General features: G+C 36.4%; 1 protein-coding gene, 1 non-coding gene and 1 pseudogene across 15 annotated transcripts in view, besides 1 other annotated feature; 2 read left to right on the forward strand and 1 right to left on the reverse strand.

Moving 5' to 3' along the window:
• Positions 1 to 22,483, forward strand: part of MYO6 (myosin VI) — a 170,299-nt gene that overhangs the window by 104,548 nt on the left and 43,268 nt on the right. For 13 of the 14 annotated variants that reach the window (NM_001368865.1, NM_001368866.1, XM_005248721.5 and 10 more), the window contains exons 12-20: positions 1,353 to 1,497; positions 3,311 to 3,468; positions 5,116 to 5,207; positions 7,237 to 7,309; positions 8,810 to 8,937; positions 12,740 to 12,835; positions 13,146 to 13,319; positions 16,861 to 16,899; positions 19,421 to 19,514. In NM_001368865.1, coding sequence (NP_001355794.1) covers positions 1,353 to 1,497; positions 3,311 to 3,468; positions 5,116 to 5,207; positions 7,237 to 7,309; positions 8,810 to 8,937; positions 12,740 to 12,835; positions 13,146 to 13,319; positions 16,861 to 16,899; positions 19,421 to 19,514 — 999 coding nt within the window. Of the gene's footprint in view, positions 1 to 1,352; positions 1,498 to 3,310; positions 3,469 to 5,115; positions 5,208 to 7,236; positions 7,310 to 8,809; positions 8,938 to 12,739; positions 12,836 to 13,145; positions 13,320 to 13,644; positions 13,738 to 16,860; positions 16,900 to 19,420; positions 19,515 to 22,483 lie in introns of all 14 variants that reach the window. The other variant, NR_160538.1, reaches the window with a different exon arrangement.
• Positions 10,509 to 10,678: an enhancer, noted in NCBI's record as "experimental_94611 CRE fragment used in MPRA reporter constructs". NCBI's record gives its function as "activates a minimal promoter by MPRAs in K562 erythroleukemia cells, with activity observed for both the introgressed and non-introgressed 6:76574097 variant alleles {active_cell/tissue: K562}" and the evidence as "EXISTENCE:reporter gene assay evidence [ECO:0000049][PMID:34662402]".
• Positions 11,453 to 11,549, reverse strand: RNA5SP209 (RNA, 5S ribosomal pseudogene 209; annotated as a pseudogene).
• Positions 12,178 to 12,280, forward strand: LOC124901542 (small nucleolar RNA U13). Its single transcript, XR_007059973.1, has one exon. It is a non-coding gene; the product is annotated as a small nucleolar RNA U13 (small nucleolar RNA).

The following is a 22,483-nucleotide window of genomic DNA, read 5'->3' on the forward strand; positions in this document are numbered from 1 at the left end:
AATATTTGTAAAATGCTATTTTTTATTATAATGCAAATAAATATAAAGAATAGTTAATCGTTAGTACTTTCTCTGTACCAGACACTATTCCAAGCATTTCACATACATAACCTCATTAATCTAAATAGCAACCATGTAAGGTAGGTAAAGTAATTATCCCAGTTTTATGGACGAAGAAACTGTGCACAAAGAGAATAAGTAACTTATTCAAGGTCACATAGCTAGTAGTTGTAGAGCCTGATCAGCCCTGAGACTAAAGCACTTTCTTTCTTTATAGTACTTTTTAAAGCAGCCCTTATAAATAGAAATCTGTAGATATGATGTACTAAGGCAAAAATGACCTGCCTGGCCACCTTCTGCTGCAATATATCTTTTCCTCACATACCCCTGTGCAAGCACACAAAAAATAAAATGGCACACGTGCAGGCTGGATGTGCCAATGGCAGATTTCTCAAAATGCCCACATGGGTCAAGACCTAACTGCATTGCTTTTTTTTTTTTTTTTTTTTTTTTTTTTTTTTGCTATTCTCTGCTCTGCAGTGTAAAGATATTGAAAATGTCAAAAAGGCTTGCAGATACCCCTAAGGGTAACAGTAAATAAGGAAAAGAGGAAGCATTTGTACTGATCTCTAGCACAGAAAGTCAAGCTGTTGGAGGAACTGGACAGGGGTATACATGTATATTAGTGTGTATATGAAACATAAATGAATTTTGTGTTTCGAATTCAGCTCATCATGTATATGCAGTTATTCCAAAACTGGAAAAAATCTAAAATCTGAAACACTTTTGGTCCCAAGCATTTCAGTTAAGGGATACTCAGCCTGTACAGGTAATAGTAAATGTCTCTTCACTCCCTTCGACCCCAAGCAATATGAGTACATGCTTATTACGTATATGCATAAACACATCCATAGACAGATATGTACATCCAAATTGATCTATTTAGGTGCCTTACAGCGTTTGCACTAAAATTACTCCTTGAAATTTCTTGAAGTCATATGAATTTTAATGATGAGATACTCTATTTCTCTAAAGAGTTAATATATTGAAAAGGATTATAATCTATCAGTGTAGTTTGCTTATAGGGTCAAAAAAAATGAAACAGTGACAGTTTAATATTGATGTGCTTAAAGGATTATACCATGGACTTCCCCAAGGGAGGATCTTCTGTTGATCTTAGCAGTACGGGTGTTTGACAAGGATAGTGAAAAAGTGAGGTAGATTTAAAAGTTACAAATAAGCCTTGCCTATTATATGGTTTTTTGTAAGTGAAGTATAATTCTAAGAAATGGGTCTTGAAAATCTGGTTTATATAATACTTATTAATTTCAATGAAAATATATTTCTATTAGGTGGTTGTAATCTGAAGAATAAATCTGCTCAGTCTTTGGAATATTGTGCTGAATTACTGGGTTTGGACCAAGATGATCTTCGAGTAAGTTTGACCACAAGAGTCATGCTAACAACAGCAGGGGGCACCAAAGGAACAGTTATAAAGTAAGTTCCTTAAGTAATTGCACTGCAAAAATTTTGCCTTGCAGTTTGTCAAGGAAAAACATAAGTTACATTCTGTTTAAAACCTGAGCTTGGTAGATCAAAATTCTCTACATCTCAGTGTAGTAATCCACCATATAAATAAATGGAGTTTAACATAGCTCTTAAAGTTGTTCCTTGCTGATATTTGGAATTCATAAGGTAAGAGAGAGGTTTACTTTTCTACAACTATGAAAATATGAGCTGATGGTATAAATCAATATATGACAGTTTTAGGCAACAGATCATTTTACTTTAAAAGTAATTTTTTTATGCCAATAATGTGTACTAAAACACATCTATTAAGCAGATCTCACTTCAGCAAAATACTTAGCAAATGACACTTTCCTTATGTTTAGGATTCTTTATTTGGGAGAAATTACAAATGACGAGAAATAAGGGCTTAACCAAGATTTTAAAAATCAGTAACCAAGAACTTCTAGATTGTACCTGGATGTTTTTATACTTTTGTCTCCATGTCCTATATTTTATATATTTTTGGTTTTGGTACTGTAGAATAAAATTGACATTCAGCCTTGTCATTCTGAGGCACTGCAGGATCTTCATTTGTGGAGGGAAGAAGACCCTTTATCTCTTACTAATAAGATAGGCAGTGAGCTCTAGTGACATATTTCCGAAAAAGTTGCAACAAATTTAAACAAAGAATTTTTTGAAAAAGCTTTTAGCCTCTCAGAAAATTGGCTATCTCTTATTCTTTTGAAAATTTTAGCAAGGTATGCTTAGCCTGATTCTTTGCTAAGCAAATTCAAAATTGTTCTTGTTATAAAGAAAAACTCTGGAAGAAGTTTGTAGAGTACCACCCTACAGCCTACAGTTACTTGGTTCCTTAGAGATATCTCTGCGGCCCAAGGGAAAGCCCATAAATGTGCAGGTGGGTGGTTCTCAGGCATTGCTTCCTCCATTTTCCCATTTTCTCCTTGTTCCAAAGCAGTTTTTTGTTGTTGTTTCCTTTTTTCAATCAATGCCATTCCAGAATCCAAAGCAGCTCTTTTATGTACTCTATATATAGCGTGTCCACATGAAACTTCAAGAAAGGGTTCCATTGCAGAAAATATAAGTGAGAAATCACTGTTTAGAGAGGCTTAAGTATCAAATGTCAGGCTGATCTGAATGACTTATAATTCTACTTCCAAATTTGACTTTCTTTTTTTTTTTTTTGTGCTCTCTTGGTACCCCATGCTTATCTTTATGATAGTATTTAGCATGGTGTTTGGAAATTCTCTTCTGTGCCAGTCTCTCTTCATCAGACTATCATTTTCTTGAGGACAATGGCTCTGTGTCTGTACCTGCAACATTTAATACTATTATACCATATAGTCAGTTATATTAAATAGTAGAATGGGACAGTTCAAATTTTAAGATGTAAACATTTTATCCTAAACAGTGTAAAGAAGTTACCAAACTTTAAAGTTATCCTGAATTAAACACTGTTTCCTTTGCATTTAAGGAAAACCAAAAGGGAGGTTATTCCTTTGAATAATTTTGTATGTATTCAGGATGTAAATTAAGGTCAAAATGATTTTTTAAGCCTAATTTTTTTTACCCCAATAATAGACTTTTGATCTAATTTTAGGTAATTCCATTAGTTTTCTTGTAGCAGTTTTCTACTTAGCCCCATTTATCTGTGCCTATTCTCACATGACCTTTGGTAACTCTTTATTTTGTTCTTCTCTGTGTGTATGTTTAGGTGCACTCTGTGGCATTTTCACAGTGCACTATTATAAAGAATTTTTACTAGCATAGTTTTCTTTTATAGGGTACCTCTGAAAGTGGAGCAAGCAAACAATGCTCGTGATGCCCTGGCAAAGACAGTGTATAGCCATCTTTTTGATCATGTGGTAAACAGAGTAAATCAGTGTTTTCCTTTTGAAACATCATCCTATTTTATTGGAGTCCTAGATATTGCTGGTTTTGGTAAGTAGAGTTTCTTTTGTGAGTATATATTTGTTTCATATTTTTTCACACATTAGAATTTGTTCTTAAATCTTTTCTCCTTTGTAACTCATTTTACTTGATGTATGTGTAATTATATGTCCACACTCACATTTCATAATATGACCTAGATAGGGAGCTGATACTTTAAAGAGAAGAGGAAAGACTCGTGGGGATTAGTTTTGATGATACTAATGCTAAAATTAAAACATTGATTGAAACTGCTAGAGTTAAGGATATCTCTATACTCTAAAAGGAATACAACTGAATAAAGGTAAATCCTTGTGTGCTACTAATAAAGATAATACATTCACTGATTAAATAACAAAAAAAGATAAATAGAGTCACTAAAACCATTTACTAATTTGTAGAGCTGGGGATAGGTTGACCTAACTTACAGGCCAACCTCATTACTATGTTTAGAAATTCATTGCTGTTGCTGTCAGCAAGTAGCTATATTTTCCATCAAATTAATAAGATATCAAGGTAAGTAGTTAAACAACTGTAGAGCTGTTCAACCAGAAATGAAATGGGTCACCAGCATGTGAATGCTGCTTTGCTCTGAGTGACAAAAATATAAAAATCTTGAAATGTAAATCTAATGGGTTTTGTATTGGGCTTTATCAATGTGGGCATTCTTTCTGACTGTGAAGGAGTAGTGTCTTCTTTGTGGTTTTTGCCAAAGAAATGTATGAGTGTTTACATTTGGGGAGGGATGGAGTTTTGCTTTTGATGTAATACGTATTTTAAACTTTATAATTCTCTACCTTTTGTTCAAAGGTAGAGAATTATTATTATTATTAATTTTTTTTCCTTTTCTACAACAGTTTTAGCATAACACATACAAAGGATTATAAAATTGTAAAGCCGAGTGTATCTTAGACATCATGCAATATAATCTCTTGATTTTAGAAATGAATTGGTATCCACAGCATTTTTGATAAGTAATTTTACAGATTATGCAGAAAAAAATCTTCTAAAGCACTTGTATTTTAAGTAATTTTTGTGCTTAATTTAGATTGCTTTAATACCTGTGCTTTAAAAAATTGTTGGCCGGGTGCGGTGGCTCATGCCTGTAATCCCAACATTTTGGGAGGCTGAGGCCAGCAGATCACTTGAGGCCAGGAGTTCGAGACCAGCCTGGGTAACATGGTGAAACCCTGTCTCTACTAAAAATACAAAAATTAGCTGGGTGTGGTGGCACATGTTTGTAATTCCAGCTACTTGGGAGGCTCAGGCATGAGAATCACTTGAACCCGGGGGCGGAGGTTGCAGTGAGCCAAGATTGTAGCACTGCACTCCAGCCTGTGTGACAGGGATCCTATCTCAAAAATAAATAAATAAATAGTTAACATGTGGCTTACATTTTATATCTTTTAGTATACAACATTTATCTCATTTGAGAAACACCTTATTTGTCAACTGAAGCAGGGTATTTTTAATACTTTTAATGCCTATAAAGTTTTGTCTTGAAATGAGAACATTTGGGAAGTATAGAACAAATATATATAATATACAAATTTAACCTAATTTTAAATTAAGCCATTATTACAATTACATTTTATCCTATGATAAATTTATATGAAGTTGATCTCATAATGACTCTTGGTTCTGGTTTTATATTTTCAGAGTACTTTGAGCATAACAGTTTTGAACAATTTTGCATCAACTATTGCAATGAAAAACTTCAACAATTTTTTAATGAAAGGATTCTGAAGGAGGTAATTGCCATTATAAGTTTAATTTAAGATCTGCATAAAGCTATTTTAAATTTTAAGGAAGAGATATGCTGCAGTTACCCTGATTGGTGTGGATGGATGGTGTATAACGGAAGGTGGCTCAGGGAATCTGGGAAGCCCAGCAGAGGCCCCGGGGCTCAGGCACGTCAGAAGTGTTAATGGTTCAGCTGAAGTTTAGGGACCCGATAAAAACCCTTAATAGGGGCTTCCTCAGAAGTGAACATCTGTTTTTAGTAGTGACTTTTAATGGACTTGAAGCTCTGTTTCTTTTTATGATTTTGTTGTCTCTACTTCTTTTTTTTTTTTGAGATAGAGTCTCATTCTGTTGCTCAGGCTGGAGTGCAGTGGTGTGATCTCGGCTCACTGCAGCCTCCGTTTCCCGGGTTCAAGCGATTCTCCTGCCTCAGCCTCCCCAGTAGCTGGGACAACAGGCGTGGGCTACCATGCCCAACAAATTTTTGTATTTTTAGTAGAGACAGGGTTTCACAATTTTGGCTAGGCTAGTCTCGAACTCTTGGCCTCAAGTAATCTGCCTGCCTCATCTTCCCAAAGTTCTGGGCTTACAGGCGTGAGCCACCGCGCCTGGCCTGTTGTCTCTACTTCTACCACACCAAACAACCTTCTACCCGCATCCCTGCCTTTGGCATCTCCCACTCTTTTTTTTTTTTTTTTTTGAGACGAAGTCTTGCTCAGGCTGGAATGCAGTGGCGCGATCTCGGCTCACTGCAACCTCTGCCTCCCAGGTTCAAGCGATTCTCCTGCCTCAGCCTCCTGAGTAGCTGGGACTACAGGCACGCGCCACCATGGCCGGCTAATTTTTATATTTTTAGTAGAGATGGGGTTTCACCATGTTGACCAGGCTGGTCTTGAACTTCTGACCTCAGGTGATCTGCCTGCCTCAGCCTCTAACAGTGCTGGGATTACAGGCGTGAGCCATCATGCCCGACTGTAGCTCCCCTTCTTCAGGTCTCTCTGCTTCTGCCTACTCTGCTGCTGGCTCACCTTTCCCTGTCTGGCAGCAAAGCCATCAAGTCAGGAGATTTGATGCATCCATTGTCCTGGAGTGCCTCTGGGCAGTACTTTCCTTGTCATGCCACCTTTTGGACTGTCAGCTGCTTCTACTTTATCTGGGCTGAAATGTGCAATCATTTTATTTCCTATTTCCATCCTTTCTATCTTTTCCCACATTTTAATTATGTTTATGTTTTTGTGGGCTTCCCAGCACATTCTAGCTTTTGTACATTTTACTTACATTCTGTAGTTAAATGAATTCTGGCATAAACAAACAGGTAAAACAAGTACTTACCAGTAAGATAATTTCTCTGAAAACGTTTATCCAGTCACATTAGTTCTATTACCATGTGAAGTTTTACCTTCATGCCTCTAATTTAACATAAGCTAATCCTTCCCTTCTACACCAACCTACCAAAAAACTTTATCTAGAAATATTGTAAAAAGGAGACTGTATTTTGATTTATGTTCACCTTTTTAATATACTTTAAAATAAATGTGAATTTCAAATTGAGTTGTGTTTAAGTGGACAGTGCCTTCTAGAATGTCAGAAATCTTTTCTAGTATCTCATGGGAGGAAATATTTAAACACTCAGGAAACAATGTTAAAACATATTTACTTAAGTTCATTGCATAGTTTATCCATCTATGATAAAATCCCTTTAAAAATTTTAAGAAGACACAAGACATATTTGAGGACTCAAATTTGATCATATATTGTTCTTCTAAATTACACTTATTTTCCCCAAGTGATGTATCATATATATTATATCACTGTGTTGGTATTAGAGCCCATTTGCAGTTAATTGCTATTTCCTTACCTTTAGTGCCTGTCTGCAAGTGTTCAAAAATCTGTTATGTTTTTGGAAAACCATTTAAGGCTATACCAGTTTGTATAAACCTTTGCATTCTAATTAGCAAATGTTATGTTCAGAAACAGTGCAAAATTCACTATTGCTCAGTATTGCTGTATCTATGATTATGATTATTTCATTTTTAGGAACAAGAACTCTATCAAAAAGAAGGTTTAGGTGTTAATGAAGTGCATTATGTGGATAATCAGGACTGTATAGGTATGTGTTTTTTAACTCCACCTTTGAAAAATATAGGAAGATGTAGTGAATGTGTTTAGTGCTTTTTCTGTGCTTTTTAATTGACATTACTTGTTATATGACTTGAAACTGGTATTTGAGAGAAGGTTACTTCTGTATTACTGCCTGGAAGTTATTTTTTCCACCAAGACTTCAAAGGTATCTTTGTTGGAAGTTTTCTATAATCTCTTCTATTTATTTTGAAGGATGTTTTCCTATTTAAATAGTTAGCATGTGAATTGGTTAAGGGGGAAACTTAATTGCCTAGTCAGTAAAGACATTTATTCACCTGAGGAAGTCCATAGTTAGGCCAGGCTCCAGGCAAGTTTGTCAGGGTTTGCCCTGCTTTTCTGTGATTCTCTTGTTTCTGCTGTATTCTGTGCATTGACAGCATCCTCTAACTGGTTGCGAGCTGGCTTCATGTGTCACAGCCAGATAACACTGCGCAGCAAGAGAATAGAGGCTCTGCTTTCATTTTAGTGGTAAAGAAACCTTTCCCTATAGCCGCACAGCCAGTTTTCAGTCTTCCATTTCTTTCCCACCCCATCTCTAAAATAAACTGTTGGGCAAACCTTGTTTTTAAAACAGTTTGATAATCCTGTCAGTAACTGATGTGCTGGATTTGAAAAACATAGTATAATAATAATACTACTTTACATCAGTATAAATTTTCAAAGCACTTTCACATTTCACTTGGTCCACTCCACATTTCCTTAACACACGGACCCTTTCTAACCTCTGAGTCTTTGACTGTGTGGTTTGATATGGCTGGAACTCTTCCCCTTCCATTTGTCTTTCAGCCCACTTTCACCTCATGCTACATCTATCAAAATACTCCCATTTGTAGCTTAGTTCAGCATGCCCCTCCTGCCCTACCACTAATTACCCAAGAAGCATCATTTTCTCACTAATGTAGTTAGAATCTTTCTCTTCCTATGTCTTATAGCTTTGTTCCACTTAATCATTGTTATATACTGTATTCAAGCAGTTTACATTTTATAGTTAGTTTTGGACAGGAAGGAATTTCAAACGAATGGAAAGAGCGTAAAAATGTGTTGTTACAGATTTTGTTTGAAAGCGTTTACATCAGTTTCTAAAAGTATTATTAAAAAGCTATGCATGTAGAAGTTTCTGTAGTTTTACTTTACTTTGAATATAGCTGTCATTTCGAAAAGGAGGAATTTCCAATTCCTTAGCCTCTTCTCCTGGTTTACAAATGGAATGGTTATTATAGTCATTTGCTTTCTTTATGTAGTAGCTTTTCTAAAACCTATATTAAATATATACTGTTACTTTTTTATAAACGGCCAGATTTGAAATAAAAATCCGTCAGCTCTCTATAACTTTTGAGAGAACACATATAGAATCACATGCTATGTTGTTTCTGATCAGTCCTTGAAATCTGTGATTAGTGAATTGTTCACATATCTTTAAAATGTTATGTTTTTACACTATTGTGAGTGTTTTCATTTTTTGAAATAGATTTAATTGAAGCCAAATTAGTGGGAATACTGGATATTTTGGATGAAGAAAATCGCCTTCCCCAGCCAAGTGATCAACACTTTACATCTGCAGTTCACCAAAAGCACAAGGATCATTTTCGACTCACTGTGAGTTTTGCCATTCTGAAATTGAGACTATGGTGGGACGAGACATTATTAAAAAGGTGCATTAGCTATTAGATATTACTAGATAATTAGAATAAAAATTATGGCGTGTATAGAGCAACTATATTATATCCAGCACAGTATCTTCCTTAGATGGATGGATATTTATATATGATTTTTATGTAGTCAAGAGACTTTTTCTCTGATGAAAAGTACATTTCACCTGTCTAATACGTACAATGTGCCTGTAGTCTGAGATACTAGGGAAGCTGAGGTGGGAGGACAGCTTGAGCCTGGGAGTCGAGGCTACAGTGAGTTGTTAGCATGCCACTGCACTCCAGCCTGGCCAAAAGAGCAAGATCCTGTGTCAAAAAAATAAAAGTACAATGAGAATTACCTGCTGTCTTCATGGTCTCCCTTCTGAGCTAAGTGGGTATCAGTTGCTTTGTTTTGTGACCTTAATCACATTCCAGGAGTTGGCACTCGGAGTCGCAAGCAGCCATCTGTCTGCTTATTTGTAAGACCAGCAGTTAAGGTTGTGGCTTAGAACTCTTGACTGGTGCAGGCAATACAAATTAGATAATGATCAGCCAATTCATTTTGACCCTCTTTCCTAAGGAGTTTTGAGTGGAAAATACACTCAGAGAGGGAAATTGAATCTGAAGCAATAGAGAGATTAGGTAGAGTAAAGAGAAAAGCAGACAGACAGCAGTAGAAACAAATGAGAGGTGCACTCTAAAAGGCCAGAAGACCTGGTTTCTGTTTTCCTTTCTTTTTTTTTTGAGACAGAGTTTCGCTATTGTCACCCAGGCTGGAGTGCAATGGTGCGATCTCGGCTCACTGCAACCTCCGCATCTTGGTTTCAAGTGATTCTCCTACCTCAGCCTCCTGAGTAACTGGGATTATAGGCATGCACCACCACGCCCGGCTAATTTTTGTATTTTTAGTAGAGACGGGGTTTCACCAGGTTGGCCAGGAGAGTCTCAATCTCTTGACCTCATGATCTCCCTGCCTTGGCTTCCCAAAGTGCTGGGATTACAGGTGTGAGCCACCGTGCCCGGCTCAGAAGACCTGGTTTCTGAACTGCTGTTAGGTCGCAGAGCTGTGCTTGAGTCTTTAGAGCCATTTTCCATGAGGGTGGACTGTGTGGCTATTGAGATGTTTCCTGTGTTCACCTCTTCTGAACCTGTCTTTTCATTCAGCCATTGTTACCTGAGGTAATAAAAGCACAGCTCCATCCTTGTACCCAGAAAGAGCCTGGCTAGCACAGACAATGTGCTAGCCACACAAATGGATGTCAGTTTCGACCACAAAGATAGTTGCTGCCTCATCTCATAGACAACATCATTAACAACAACAACAACAACAACAAACAGGAGAGTGAAAAAGAAAAGCCGTTTAGAGTTGCCTAGTGGAATTAGGGAACTAATAGGCAAAATTGCCTCTCAAACAAACTGTATATTATTTTGAGATTGTAACATAGTATAATGATTATTGCTTTGATGAATCCAGAAACTTAAGTGAATGGTAACAAGTAGTTTTGTTTCTATTCATCATTAACAAAATCAGTGGTAAATAGGTGAATTGGATTTACCTGAAAAGCTCATGTAATTGTGTTAACCTTCACTAGGGACTAAAATCTCACATCCACCTGCTCCATTGACTTGCAATTCTTCTGTATCCCTATATATTTCTTGTAATGTGGAATCTATTTCTGTTACTTCAGTGGAGATAGAAATAAAACAATATGTATCCTCAACAAAACTTCTGCTAAAATTGAAGATATATATCCAATCCTATTCCTTAATAGCTCGCTGGTCTTTGTTATGACCAGCCTATGGATGCATGATTACCTTTACCAGGAGTTGGCACCTAGAGTCATAAGCAGGTGACTTACCAGGGGCACTAATTGCTAGTCAACAGAATTGTCACGAGTGTCTCAGAGGCATGTGACTTAAAAGACAGTAAACTGAAGCATCAAGAATGGACCTTGGCTGCTTTTGTCAACCAAGAACAAGAGTAAAGCAGTAAATCCTATTTTATATAGGTTATTCCTTTTGTTGTATTTTTTGAAAATAAATAAAATAATCATTTATTGAACACTTAGATGTGGCAGGCACTATTCTAATGTTTTTACTTGAATTATTTAATCCTGTTAGATGTGTATGCTACAGATGAGACATACAAGGAGAGGTTAAGTGACATGCCTAATATGGCATGTAAAGAAATGGTAGGTTGGGAGTCAGGCTAGGCACTTTGGCTGCAGAGCCGGCACTCTGACTTGTCCTGGTGTATTGCCTCCCACAGGGAACAGCCTCTCTGTTCTGCTACCTCTTTAACCTTGAGCAAGCCTCTAAGGTTCCCAAGTCAGTTTTCTCAATTTTATTTTTTTGATTTTTCTTTTTCTTTTTTTTTTTGTAGAGACAGAATTTTGCTGTGTTGCCCAGGCTAGTCTTGAACTCCTGAGCTCAAGCAACCCACCCGCTTCAGCCTCCCAAAGTGCTGGAATTATAGGCATGAGCCACCGTGCCTGGCCAGTACTAACTGGGCCTGACCCTGCTTAGCTTTTGAGATCAGATGAGATTAGGCGCATTGAGAGTGGTATGGCGGTAGACTCTCAATTTTAAATGATGTCTTTTTTTTTTTTTTTTTTTTTTTTTTGAGACAGGGTCTGGCTCTGTTGCCCTGGTTGGAGTGCAGTGGTTCTTTCTTGGCTCACTGCAACCTCTGCCTCCCGGGCTCAAACCATCCTCCCACCTTAGCCTCTCGAGTAGCTGGGACTGCAGGCCTGCTCCACCATGCCTGGCTAATTTTGCATATTTTTTATAGAGATGGGGTTTTGCCATGTTGCTCAGGCTGGTCTCAAACTCCTGAACTCAAGCATTCCGCCTGCCTCAGCCTCCCGAAGTGCTAGGATTATAGGTGTGTGCCACCACACCTAGCCCAACATCACTTTTCTTACCCTTAGGTTATTTCAAGGGTCAGATGTGATCTTGTAAGTGAAAACATTTTAGAAACTTTATGATATACATGTGAGATATTATGATTAAATGGTACAACCTAAAATGATTTAGTTTTCTTGAAATAGATTCAGGCTCCTTGTGTAAATATGTTAGGCTATATTATTTGAAACGGTAGGAGAGTCCCTTTGCTGATGTCAGGTGTTTCTTTGACTGGCTGCACATGGAAATGATTTGATATAAATGGTATGGGCTTTGGGATGTTTAAAAGTTCTCCAGGTTGATCCTTTTGTAGTTCATAAGCCTGATGATTGGATTTTCATGCTCATGTGTGCGATCTTCCTCCCTCAGCCTTGTTAATGTGTTGGCACATTACTCATCTGACGTGATAAAGATAGATTTTAAAAAGTTATCCAGGTAATTCTAATAGAGCACCAAGGTTGAGAACCACTGCTTTAGAAATAGGTGGTTAACTCTGTAAAATGCCAACTGGGTTTTGCATGTGCTTTTAAAAAAAAATTTTTTTATTACAAGCATGTTCTTTTAAATTGTGTTTTTTTTTGGGTCTCTTTCTCTCCGTCTCTGTCTCTGTCTCTGTGTGTGTGTGTGTGTGTGTGTGTGTGTGTGTCTTACACCTATTTTCTTTCCTAAGAGATTATACCAAATATTTGCTAGATTTTATTGATACTTTAAGGCATACTCAATACATAAAAGCAGTATAATTGTGAAAAGTGTGAAAATTTCCTGTATAATTTTAAGTGTTTTACATCTCAGTTGTTTTGTAAAGAATGATTATGTAATATATTTTTGATCATTTAATAACTCATATATGTATTGTTTTTCAGATTCCCAGAAAATCTAAGCTGGCAGTTCATAGGAATATCAGAGACGACGAAGGCTTCATTATCAGGCATTTTGCGGGGGCAGTGTGCTATGAAACAGTGAGTATAACTTTTACAAGGAGAAAACCATTTCATGTTGAAGCTGCACTGTACAGTATGATAGCTTCTAGTCACGTGGTTATTAATTATTTCACGTGGTTATTTAAATTAAGTAAAATTACAAGTTCAATTCCTCAGTACACTAGCCACACTTCAGGTGCCCAGTGTCCACACTGACTAGTGGTGACGGCGTTGGACAGTGCAGATACAGAACATTTCTGTCATCACAGAAAGTTCCTTTGGACAGAGCCATGTTAAGTGATGTTATCACAAGATGGACAGAAACATTCCTGTTTGATTTATTTTTCAGACCCAGTTTGTGGAGAAAAATAATGATGCTTTACATATGTCTCTTGAATCCTTAATATGTGAATCCAGAGATAAGTTTATACGGGAATTATTTGAATCATCCACAAATAACAACAAAGATACTAAACAAAAAGCAGGAAAACTTAGCTTCATCAGCGTGGGAAACAAGTTTAAGGTATTTGTGTTATTTAATTTTTTTTTTACTATATTTAAAATGAAATTATTGTTTTATATTCTAAAATGGATAATGTAGATCACTGTCAGAAATCTCACAGTGAAGTTCAAGAGCAGACCCTGCATTGTTGATATTTGTATGTAAAATATCATAATGTAGGCCTAGTAATTGAACATACAGAAATGCTTGTAATTATCTGAATGTGTTCATTCTTGGTTCTTAACATATCTGATTGCCTCTCCTAATGTTCTTGCTTCTGCATACTGTCTGGTTGACCTTCAAACCTTCTCTTTCCCATGTGTTTTCTGTTTCCTTCCTCATTCAGCGGTTTTGTTTTAGCTGGAGTAGTCCAGCTCGGGATGGCTAGAGAGGACTAGTTGAGTTGAGAGAGGAAAGCAGGCACAGCCAGGGGCTTCAGGTAAATGATCGCCTTCATGGACTCCTATTTATAAAGTGGCTGCCATGTTAAAAAGAGCCCATCTGAAGTTAATGATTCAGTTTGTAATTCATTTTCAATGTGTTTCTCTCACAATGGCATTTTGGGTGTGCATATTACACTAAAATTTGATTAAAGCTTTTAATAACTTCTGTTAAAGATAAGCACTTAGGTGTGGCAAACTCTTCAAACTGCTTATTTAACATGGAAGAATATTTCATTTGTTTTATTAATTTTGGATCAGGAATTTATTCTTCAAGGTCTGACATGGAATGGCACAGGGTTTGTCTTAGAACACTACTAATTGGTTCTAGTTATTGAGGAGTGTAGAAAAAAAATGTTAAAATTTGTGAAGTTATGAGTTTAATGAATGACAAACTATAGTATGTAGAACAAAAAATGTATACGAGAGAATTAATTTCTTATATATTTCTACAGAGTATTATTGTTATATTTATAATAAAACTCTACATTTGCCTTTCACTATATGTACTTTAAATATTTAAAATAATGTAATTAGGAAAAAGATTTAAGTGTCTGAATGTTATGGTACTGATAATATAAGCCTCCCCAAATTTATTTTGGATTGAAATGGGCTCTAAATAACTAAATTGATAAAATATTTATAAGAGCTAGTTTTTTTTTAAGCTTAAACATAAATATAGGGAAAAACCTCATAATACATTTTTAGGTAACTGAATAAAAAGCCTTGAATTTTGTTATAAGTTATATTCATTATTATGAGTTTCTGATTCAGTGAACAATCTTTTTTTTATTTGAGTATTCTTCTATTTCTGAATCGACATTTGATAGCAGATTGGTTTAAAAATAGTATATTTGCCTATATGAAATGGATGTCATTCACTATTTTCCTACTCTAATATTATTGTAGTATTGCTGATAAGAGCATACTTGAAATTTTAGAAAATATAAATAAAGACATTCTTACAGTTTTTCTTTGGATTACATAATCTTTTATGTTGAGCCTTGAAACTTCTTATAATTGCTTATATTTAATACAATGTATTTTTTTACATTAAGCCACTGAAAGTGATAGCTGAATGATACTAATAATAAAATATTTCACGTTTTTCTCTGAGATACCTTGAAATGAAATAGGAATAGATTCCTAGTTTTAAATATAGTAGAATAGCTCATTAAATTAAAATTGAAGTATATAAGGCAATAAACACAAAACAGGCTATCATTTACAGCAATACTTCAGTTATCCAGCATCCCTGGAAACCAGAAATTTTCTATTGGAAAGTGCCTTTTTCAGGTTATTGAAACATAAACCCTTTACTGTTAGTGTTTTAGAAAAAGTCATCCTTTTTGATGGAAACATAATTCTATTATAAGAATATTTGTATGTTTTCAAATAAAAATACAAATAAAGCATGAGTTGCCTGAGGCTTTTTACTCTTAAGCCTTATGGTCCTTGGCTGTTCTTTGATAGTTGACTTTCTTCCCTCTTTTCTCAGCTGCTAAGAGTTTATTTTGATGCTTCTGTTCTTTTGACTTTATCTCCATTTTTTTTTTTTTTTTTTTTTTTTTTGGAGAATACTGTGCTTAGTCTGTGGATGAAGGAGTCTGGACTTTGCGACAGTTATTTTCTTTCCAAATTAGTCACTTTAATACTTTTCAGGCATGGTGGTTCAGATTGATTACGGTTGTCAGAACTCTGTCAGTGAGATAAGTGGGATACAACTGTATTTCTTTAATTCAATGACAAATCCATTCCATTTTAATAACTTAAGCTTCTCAGTATATGTGATGTATACTGTAATAGTATCACTCACAGGAGAATGAAATTTGGTGTCAGGCCGATGTTGGAATCATGACTTTGCCATTATTAGCTCCGTAACCTCGGGCAAGTTATTTATTTCCTTGGATTGTCATGTTCTATCCTTAATTAGATTAAACATAATAACTCCTGTGAAAAGCTTTGAGCAGTACCTGACTTATAGATGACATTCAGTAAACTATACTTACTAATTATAGCTATGATTAATACAATGTTAGTTTAAAAATTAACATTAGTCTTTTGTAAGTAGTTTAATAAATACCTCAGTATAAAATCCAGATAGAAAAATTTTACATAATTAACTTATTTTGCAGAGTAGTAAGGCAAATAAATGATTTTAATACACTGAACCACACCACATCATAATCAATGTTATAAAAACAAGAAAGCATAGTAACTTGTAATGTTCATTGTCAATTTTTTTTGAGAAAATTGTCCAAGCATTTAAAAATAACTGAAATGTAAAATGTTTTAAAATGTTAAAGAGGCAGGGTGCGGTGGCTCATGCCTGTAATCCTAGCACTTTGGGAGGCTGAGGCGTGTGGATCACGAGGTCAGGAGATCGAGACCATCCTGGCTAACATGGTAAAACCCTGTCTCTACTAAAAATACAAAAAAATTTGCTGGGCGTGGTGGTGGGCGCCTGTAATCCCAGCTACTCGGGAGGCTGAGGCAGGAGAATGGCGTGAACCCGGGAGGTGGAGCTTGCAGTGAGCCTAGATCATGCCACTGCACTCTAGCCTGGGCGACAGAGCAAGACTCCGTCTCAAAAAAAGAAAAAAAAAAAAGTTACAGAGGATTTCTATAGCTAGGCAGGACAATTTTGTTTACACTAAGTGTTCCATAAAACAATCCTAATATATACTATTAGTGTATATTTTAAACATGTCTTCATTCCTAATGTGTGTGACACAAACTACAGTTTGCCACATTCAAAGACTGTGCTATTGATCTCTTATTAAATGCATCCTCACTATTTTCATTTACTTCCTTCATTGCCTGTACATTTTTTCCTCATTCATTCCATCTGCAAATATGTGTGTATGTTTTTAATATTGCTAATTTTCAGTCTTTTAATTATACAACTTCTGTGTAAGTTATTGTTCTTGCATTACATTAGCCATTTTGCATGATGCTGTCTGTTAAAGAATTTGTGTACCAGGAGGTTGTTAAACTGGAATGTGTTGTATTTGGATGTTATTGCATGTTATTTTATTCCAGTACTGGAGAGCTAATATTAACTCATGACACTGTGTACTTTGGCTTTTTGAAATAATAAACTGATTTCCTTTCTTTCACAGACACAGTTAAATTTGCTTCTGGATAAACTTCGAAGTACTGTGAGTATGCTTAAAAAGAAAACAGGTTTTTATGGGTCATCTAAAACTATTATTAGTAATTATGCAAGTAGGCATAGTAACCCTGTACTAATTAAAAATACATTTTAAACTTTATTCTCTTATTTTAAAAAATTAGTTTTTTTTCTGAAGAAAGGTCAAATATATATGTGAAGTCAGATTATTTTATAAATATATAGAATTCTTGACTATTTAAAAATTAAGATTATCTTACAGTTTCAAGAAAGTGAAAATAAGTGGTAATAGTGGAGAATTTTTCTTAGGATTAAAGATTAGTTATGAAATTCAATCTTATTTTATTACTCTTACAGTAACATTCTCCAGACATGGCAATGTTGATGTGGAAAAAATGGACAAAATATTTTTGTGCCCTGCTATAGAGACAAAATTTATTAGAAGCCTGTTTTTTAACTATACATTTTAGTAATTCACCCCATTTTCTTAAATGAGAAAAACATCATAGAAAGAAATTATATGTGGTTTATATAAATGAAGCATGATTCCAAAGTAAGACTTATTTTTTACACAAATCCACAGAACTTGAAATTTTGTTTTTGTTTTTGAGACAAGGTCTCATTCTCTCTCGCCCAGGCTGGAGTGCAGTGGTGCAATCACAACTCGCTGCAACCTCCGCCTCTCTGGTTAAAGTGGTCCTCCCACCTCAGCCTCCCAACTAGCTGAGACTACAGGCATGTACCACCACTCCTGGCTAATTTTTGTATTTTTTGTAGATATGAGGTTTCGCCATGTTTCCCAGGCTGTTCTTGAACCCCTGGGCTCAAGTGATCTGCCTGACTTGGCCTCTCAAAGTGCTGGCATTTCAGGCGTGAGCCACGGCACCTAGTTAGAACTTGCGTATTCTTTTTCAAATAGTCATTTTGAATAGCTAGACATTTATTATATCAGTATTATTGTTGCTTAACTTACTGTTAGATTAATTTTTGGAACCATTAAAAATCTTTTTAATATCCTCTTTGGCTGCAAATATCTATCTCTTAAGGCCATGTATATTTAAAAACCAAATCTGATGAAGAGAGTATTTTTATTTCTTAGATAGGGTGCTGCTCTAAAATTATGAGATTACTTTGTGATTTATAGAAAAAAAAGCATTTCTAAAACGTGTTCTAGAAGTGTCTGTGGGCCGGGTGCCATGGCTTATGCTTGTAATCCCCAGCACTTTGGGAAGGCTGAGGCAGGTGGATCACCTGAGGTCAGGAGTTTGAGACCAGCCTGCCCAATATGGTGAAACCTCGTCTCTGCTAAAAAAATACAAAAATTAGCTGGGCATGGTGGGGCGCACTTGTAATCCTAGCTACTTGGGAGGCTGAGGCAGAAGAATCACTTGAACCCAGGAGGCGGAGGTTGCAGTGAGCCAAGATCACGCCACTGCACTCCAACCTGGTTGACAGAATGAGACTCTCTCTCAAAAATAAAAATAAAAATAAAAATAAATGAATAAATAAATAAAAGTGTTTGTAGGGAGCTTCATTGTTGAAATAATTATTTGCAAGGTAACTACTTTGAAGAGAAACAGTTATTTGGATGTCTATTAGCTTCAGTACTCAACAATACGTTTCATTGTATACATAATCAGTATTCTTTCTACCTCATTCAGCATAATCTGATAATTGATTCCAAATGAATGCCTTTAAGCTTTAAAAAATATTGTTTGACAAACAAATGTTAAAATGTACAACAGTGCAGCTTAGGGACCTACTGTATGTTTTTGAAATAGAATGATTGAAAATATTGTTTTGTTTTCTTTTACACTTTGGCCTAAGTCTTAAGGGGCATAATTTTATTTACTCCTTTTGTCATAGGGAAATTTCCTTATCATAGAAATATGGCATACATAAATACATTTAAATATAGAAAAAAATCACATGTACATCAGCCTGCAAAGTGTGTTGTTTAAATATGTTAAACAATTAAATGTGTTAAACTTTACAGTGAAAGACTTCTCTTTTTACAGTTTTTGACATTCAAATCTAAAATGTAGTATTTTTGTAATATTATTAATTAGTAATTCAAAAAGTCATTGTAAGCTTTAAAGCAGAAAAAGTATGCTTGTAAAATTTTGAGTTTTTTTTTTTTTTGACGGAGTCTCACTCTGTCACCCAGGCTGGAGTGCAGTGGCGTGATCTCAGCTCACTGCAACCTCCACCTCCTGGGTTCAAGTGGTTCTCCTGCCTCAGCCTCCCAAGTAGCTGGGATTGCCCACCACCATGCCTGGCTAATTTTTGTATTTTTAGTAGAGATGGGGTTTCACCATGTTGGCCAAGCTGGTCTTGAACTCCTGACCTCAGGTGATCTGCTCATTTCAGCCTCCCAAAATGCTGGATTACAGGCATGAGCCACTGCTCCCAGCCTTGAGTTCTTTAGTAATTACTTTTACAGGTTCATATGTTAATGTTAATATGCTTTGAAAGTTGCAGGTATTCATAGAAACAGAAAACTAAGAATGCTATATGTATTGTAACAAAAAGTACCTTTATTTTCCTAGGGAGCAAGCTTTATTCGTTGCATCAAACCTAACTTAAAGATGACAAGCCACCACTTTGAAGGTGCTCAAATTCTGTCTCAGCTTCAGTGTTCAGGTATTTTCATAATCTCTGTCAGTGTGTGTTAGTAGTCATAGCTCAAATACAATTTAATAGGTTCAGTATTTTCAAATAATTCACCATTATCTTGATTATTTTACAGTGCAATAAAATTTTCATCTTATATTTTCTTTAATTATAAGAAAAGTATAGAGCCACATGTGGTGGTGTACACCTGTAGTCCCAGCTACTTGGGTGGCTGAGGCAAGAGGACTGTTTCAGCCTGAGTTCAAAGTCAGCCTGGGCAACATAGCAAGATCTGTTTTAGAAAAGAAAAGAAAAGAAAAGCATAGATGGCAAATTATTTGAGCAATATTGAGATGTTGTTTATTGTGAAATAAACAATTTCACATTAAACATTTATGAAAACTCTCTAACAGCAAAACTGGATCTTCCTTAAGTGGGCAGCTTTCTCAATCCAGCAGTAGTTCATTTCTCATTCCACACATGATGGTCAGAAGGTAGGTTTTGTTGTCCTTTCTTCCCACTCCACGACTTGTAAAGAAAATGAAACACGATTCCCTCTGCATCTGTGACACTTCATCCATTTGCTTAAACTATCACTTCCTACCCCTCACCCTGCCATGTCTGACCTTGCTCAGGCACCAGGCTTGCTCTGTTTGCTTTATGCCTTGCCCATCCTCCCTTCTCACCAACACTACCCCTAATTTTTCCCAAGGTATCAGCCTTCTCCTTTCTTGTTTACCTTTTGATCCAACTCAGCTTCCTGACACTTCCTTAAACTTTCTTCTCTGACTCCTTATTTTGCTCTTTTGAGAGGTAGATTTACTATGAAGCTAAGATTACTTAAGCTTCAGGGTCCTTCATTTAAATAAACCCCTTCCAAAGCCCTGCATGTAATTTTCTGCTTCGCTAAAGGCCTCTCCCCAACTATATAAGCTTCAGCCCCCGCCTCACAAATCTAGATCTACCCTTGACCTCTCTCACAAAACCATAGCTATTGAGAAATCTAATTCTGTTCTTTCTTATTGTCTGCACAGGGTTGGTAGACAAGACAGGATGGCACCAGTTAAATTCATCGTCATTATCTTTAAAGGGCTCTCAAACCTGTCCTGCCAAGTTTTCCTGGTCAGCATGTTCTGTTTCTCATCAGAGACTGGTCAGACCCATCCTGCTTTCCTCAAATCTCTGCGCCTCTGCTGTCAGATGGGCTTACCTCCTTAACTAAATATCCTAAAGCTTCTCTTGTCTGCTATCAAGCACTTCTGCCTACCACTTAACCTTCCCTCTTGTTGAGAAAGTAGGGGTTGCCTCTCTGCCTGGTTGAGGCTTATAGTTCTTTGAAAGCCATCTCTTCCTAGTTTTTCATGGATCTTCAGCATTGTTTATGTTTGTCATACTATTCCCTTTCAGATGGATCTTTCCCATTACCATTTAAACATGCTGAAATCTCATCTCTAAGCCACATTTCTCTTACAGCTACCTCTTCCTCCTTATTTTTCTCCAGTTCCTTTTCTCTCCAAGAATAGGTTATTGTTGCTTTTTCAGTTTCATGCATTCTACTTACTCTTTAACTCCAGGATAATTTAGCTCCCACCTTGATGAGGTCACCAGTGATTGCCTTGTTCTGAAGCAAATGTCCCTTTTGCAGTCCTTATTTTAGTGGACTTCATAGCCACATTTGACTCTGGCCAACCCTTTTAACATATCCTTTTCTTGGTTCCTGACATGGCGTATGCCCCTGCTTTTCTTTTGAATTCTCTGACCATTCCTGATTCCCCTGCAGGCTCATTTTCTTCTACCTGGACATATGTTATCATTTTTCAGGATTTAAGTTAGGCCTCTTTTTCTTCTCATTCTATGTCAGTACTGTCCAGAAGACCTTTACATGATGATGGAGATTTTCCATATCTGTCAGTTTAGTAGCCATGAGACACATTTGACTCCTAAGTACTTGAAATGTGGCTAAGAATGAGTGAGTTACTAAATTTTAAATTTTGTTTAATTAAAAATTTTTTTTTGGTTGGGAGGGGCAGGGTTTATTCTGTTACCCAGGCTGGAGTGCAGTGGCACAATCATGGCTCACTGCAGCCTCAACCTCCCAGGCTCAAGTGATCCTTCTGCTTCAGCCTCTCAAGTAGCTGGAACTAGAGGCATGTGCCACCACGCCCAGCTAATTAAAAAAAATTTTTTTTGTACAGACAGGATCTCACTGTGTTGCTCATGCTGGTCTCCTGGTCTCAAACTCCTGGGCTCAAGTGATCCTCCTCCCTCAGCCTTCCAAAGTGATGGGATTATAGGCATGAGCTGCCATGCCTGGCCTTAATTTTAATTTTTAAAAATTTAAATTTAAGTAGTCTTATGTGGCTAGTCCCGCTGTAGAGCATGTGGCTAGTGACTGCCAAGTTGAACAGCACAGATGTGTATTCCCTTAGGTAGGCTCCCCAGTTCTGCTATTGTAACCTTCTAAATAGTGAGTCCTGATAGTCTCTAATCCAAGCTGTCACCATCTCTTACCTGGATTTTTGCTGTAGCTTCCTAAGTATTCTCCTATCTCTTCAGTCTGTTTTTCACATGCATCCAGAATTATCACTCCACAACTCATCTCTAATCATCATGTCCTTTTACTGCTTAAAATGCTCTAATGGCTTCAGATGAGTATTAGGGTGAAGAGGTCCCATAGAGCCTGGCCCGTGTGTCCCTAGCTTCATTTGTTTACACTCTCTCCCTCCCTTCTCTCCTTCAGTCACCCTGACTTTCATTTTCATTCCCTAAATGCTGCATATTTCCTCCCAGCACAGGACCTGTGCACATGCTGCCTCCTCTGTTTGGGATGTTCTTGCTATACTTTTTCCTTTATCTTTCACATCTCAGCTCTGTCATCACTTCATATGAAAGCTTTTCTTGATATTCCTGACATGGAGGGGAGCCTGAATTTGGGGTGCTGAGCTCAAGTGCCTTTATTTCACAGTTGTAGTTACAAATTTTATACATATTTGTATAAT

This window comes from Homo sapiens, chromosome 6 (assembly GCF_000001405.40).
Source record: "Homo sapiens chromosome 6, GRCh38.p14 Primary Assembly".
NCBI classification, from domain to species: domain Eukaryota; kingdom Metazoa; phylum Chordata; class Mammalia; order Primates; family Hominidae; genus Homo; species Homo sapiens.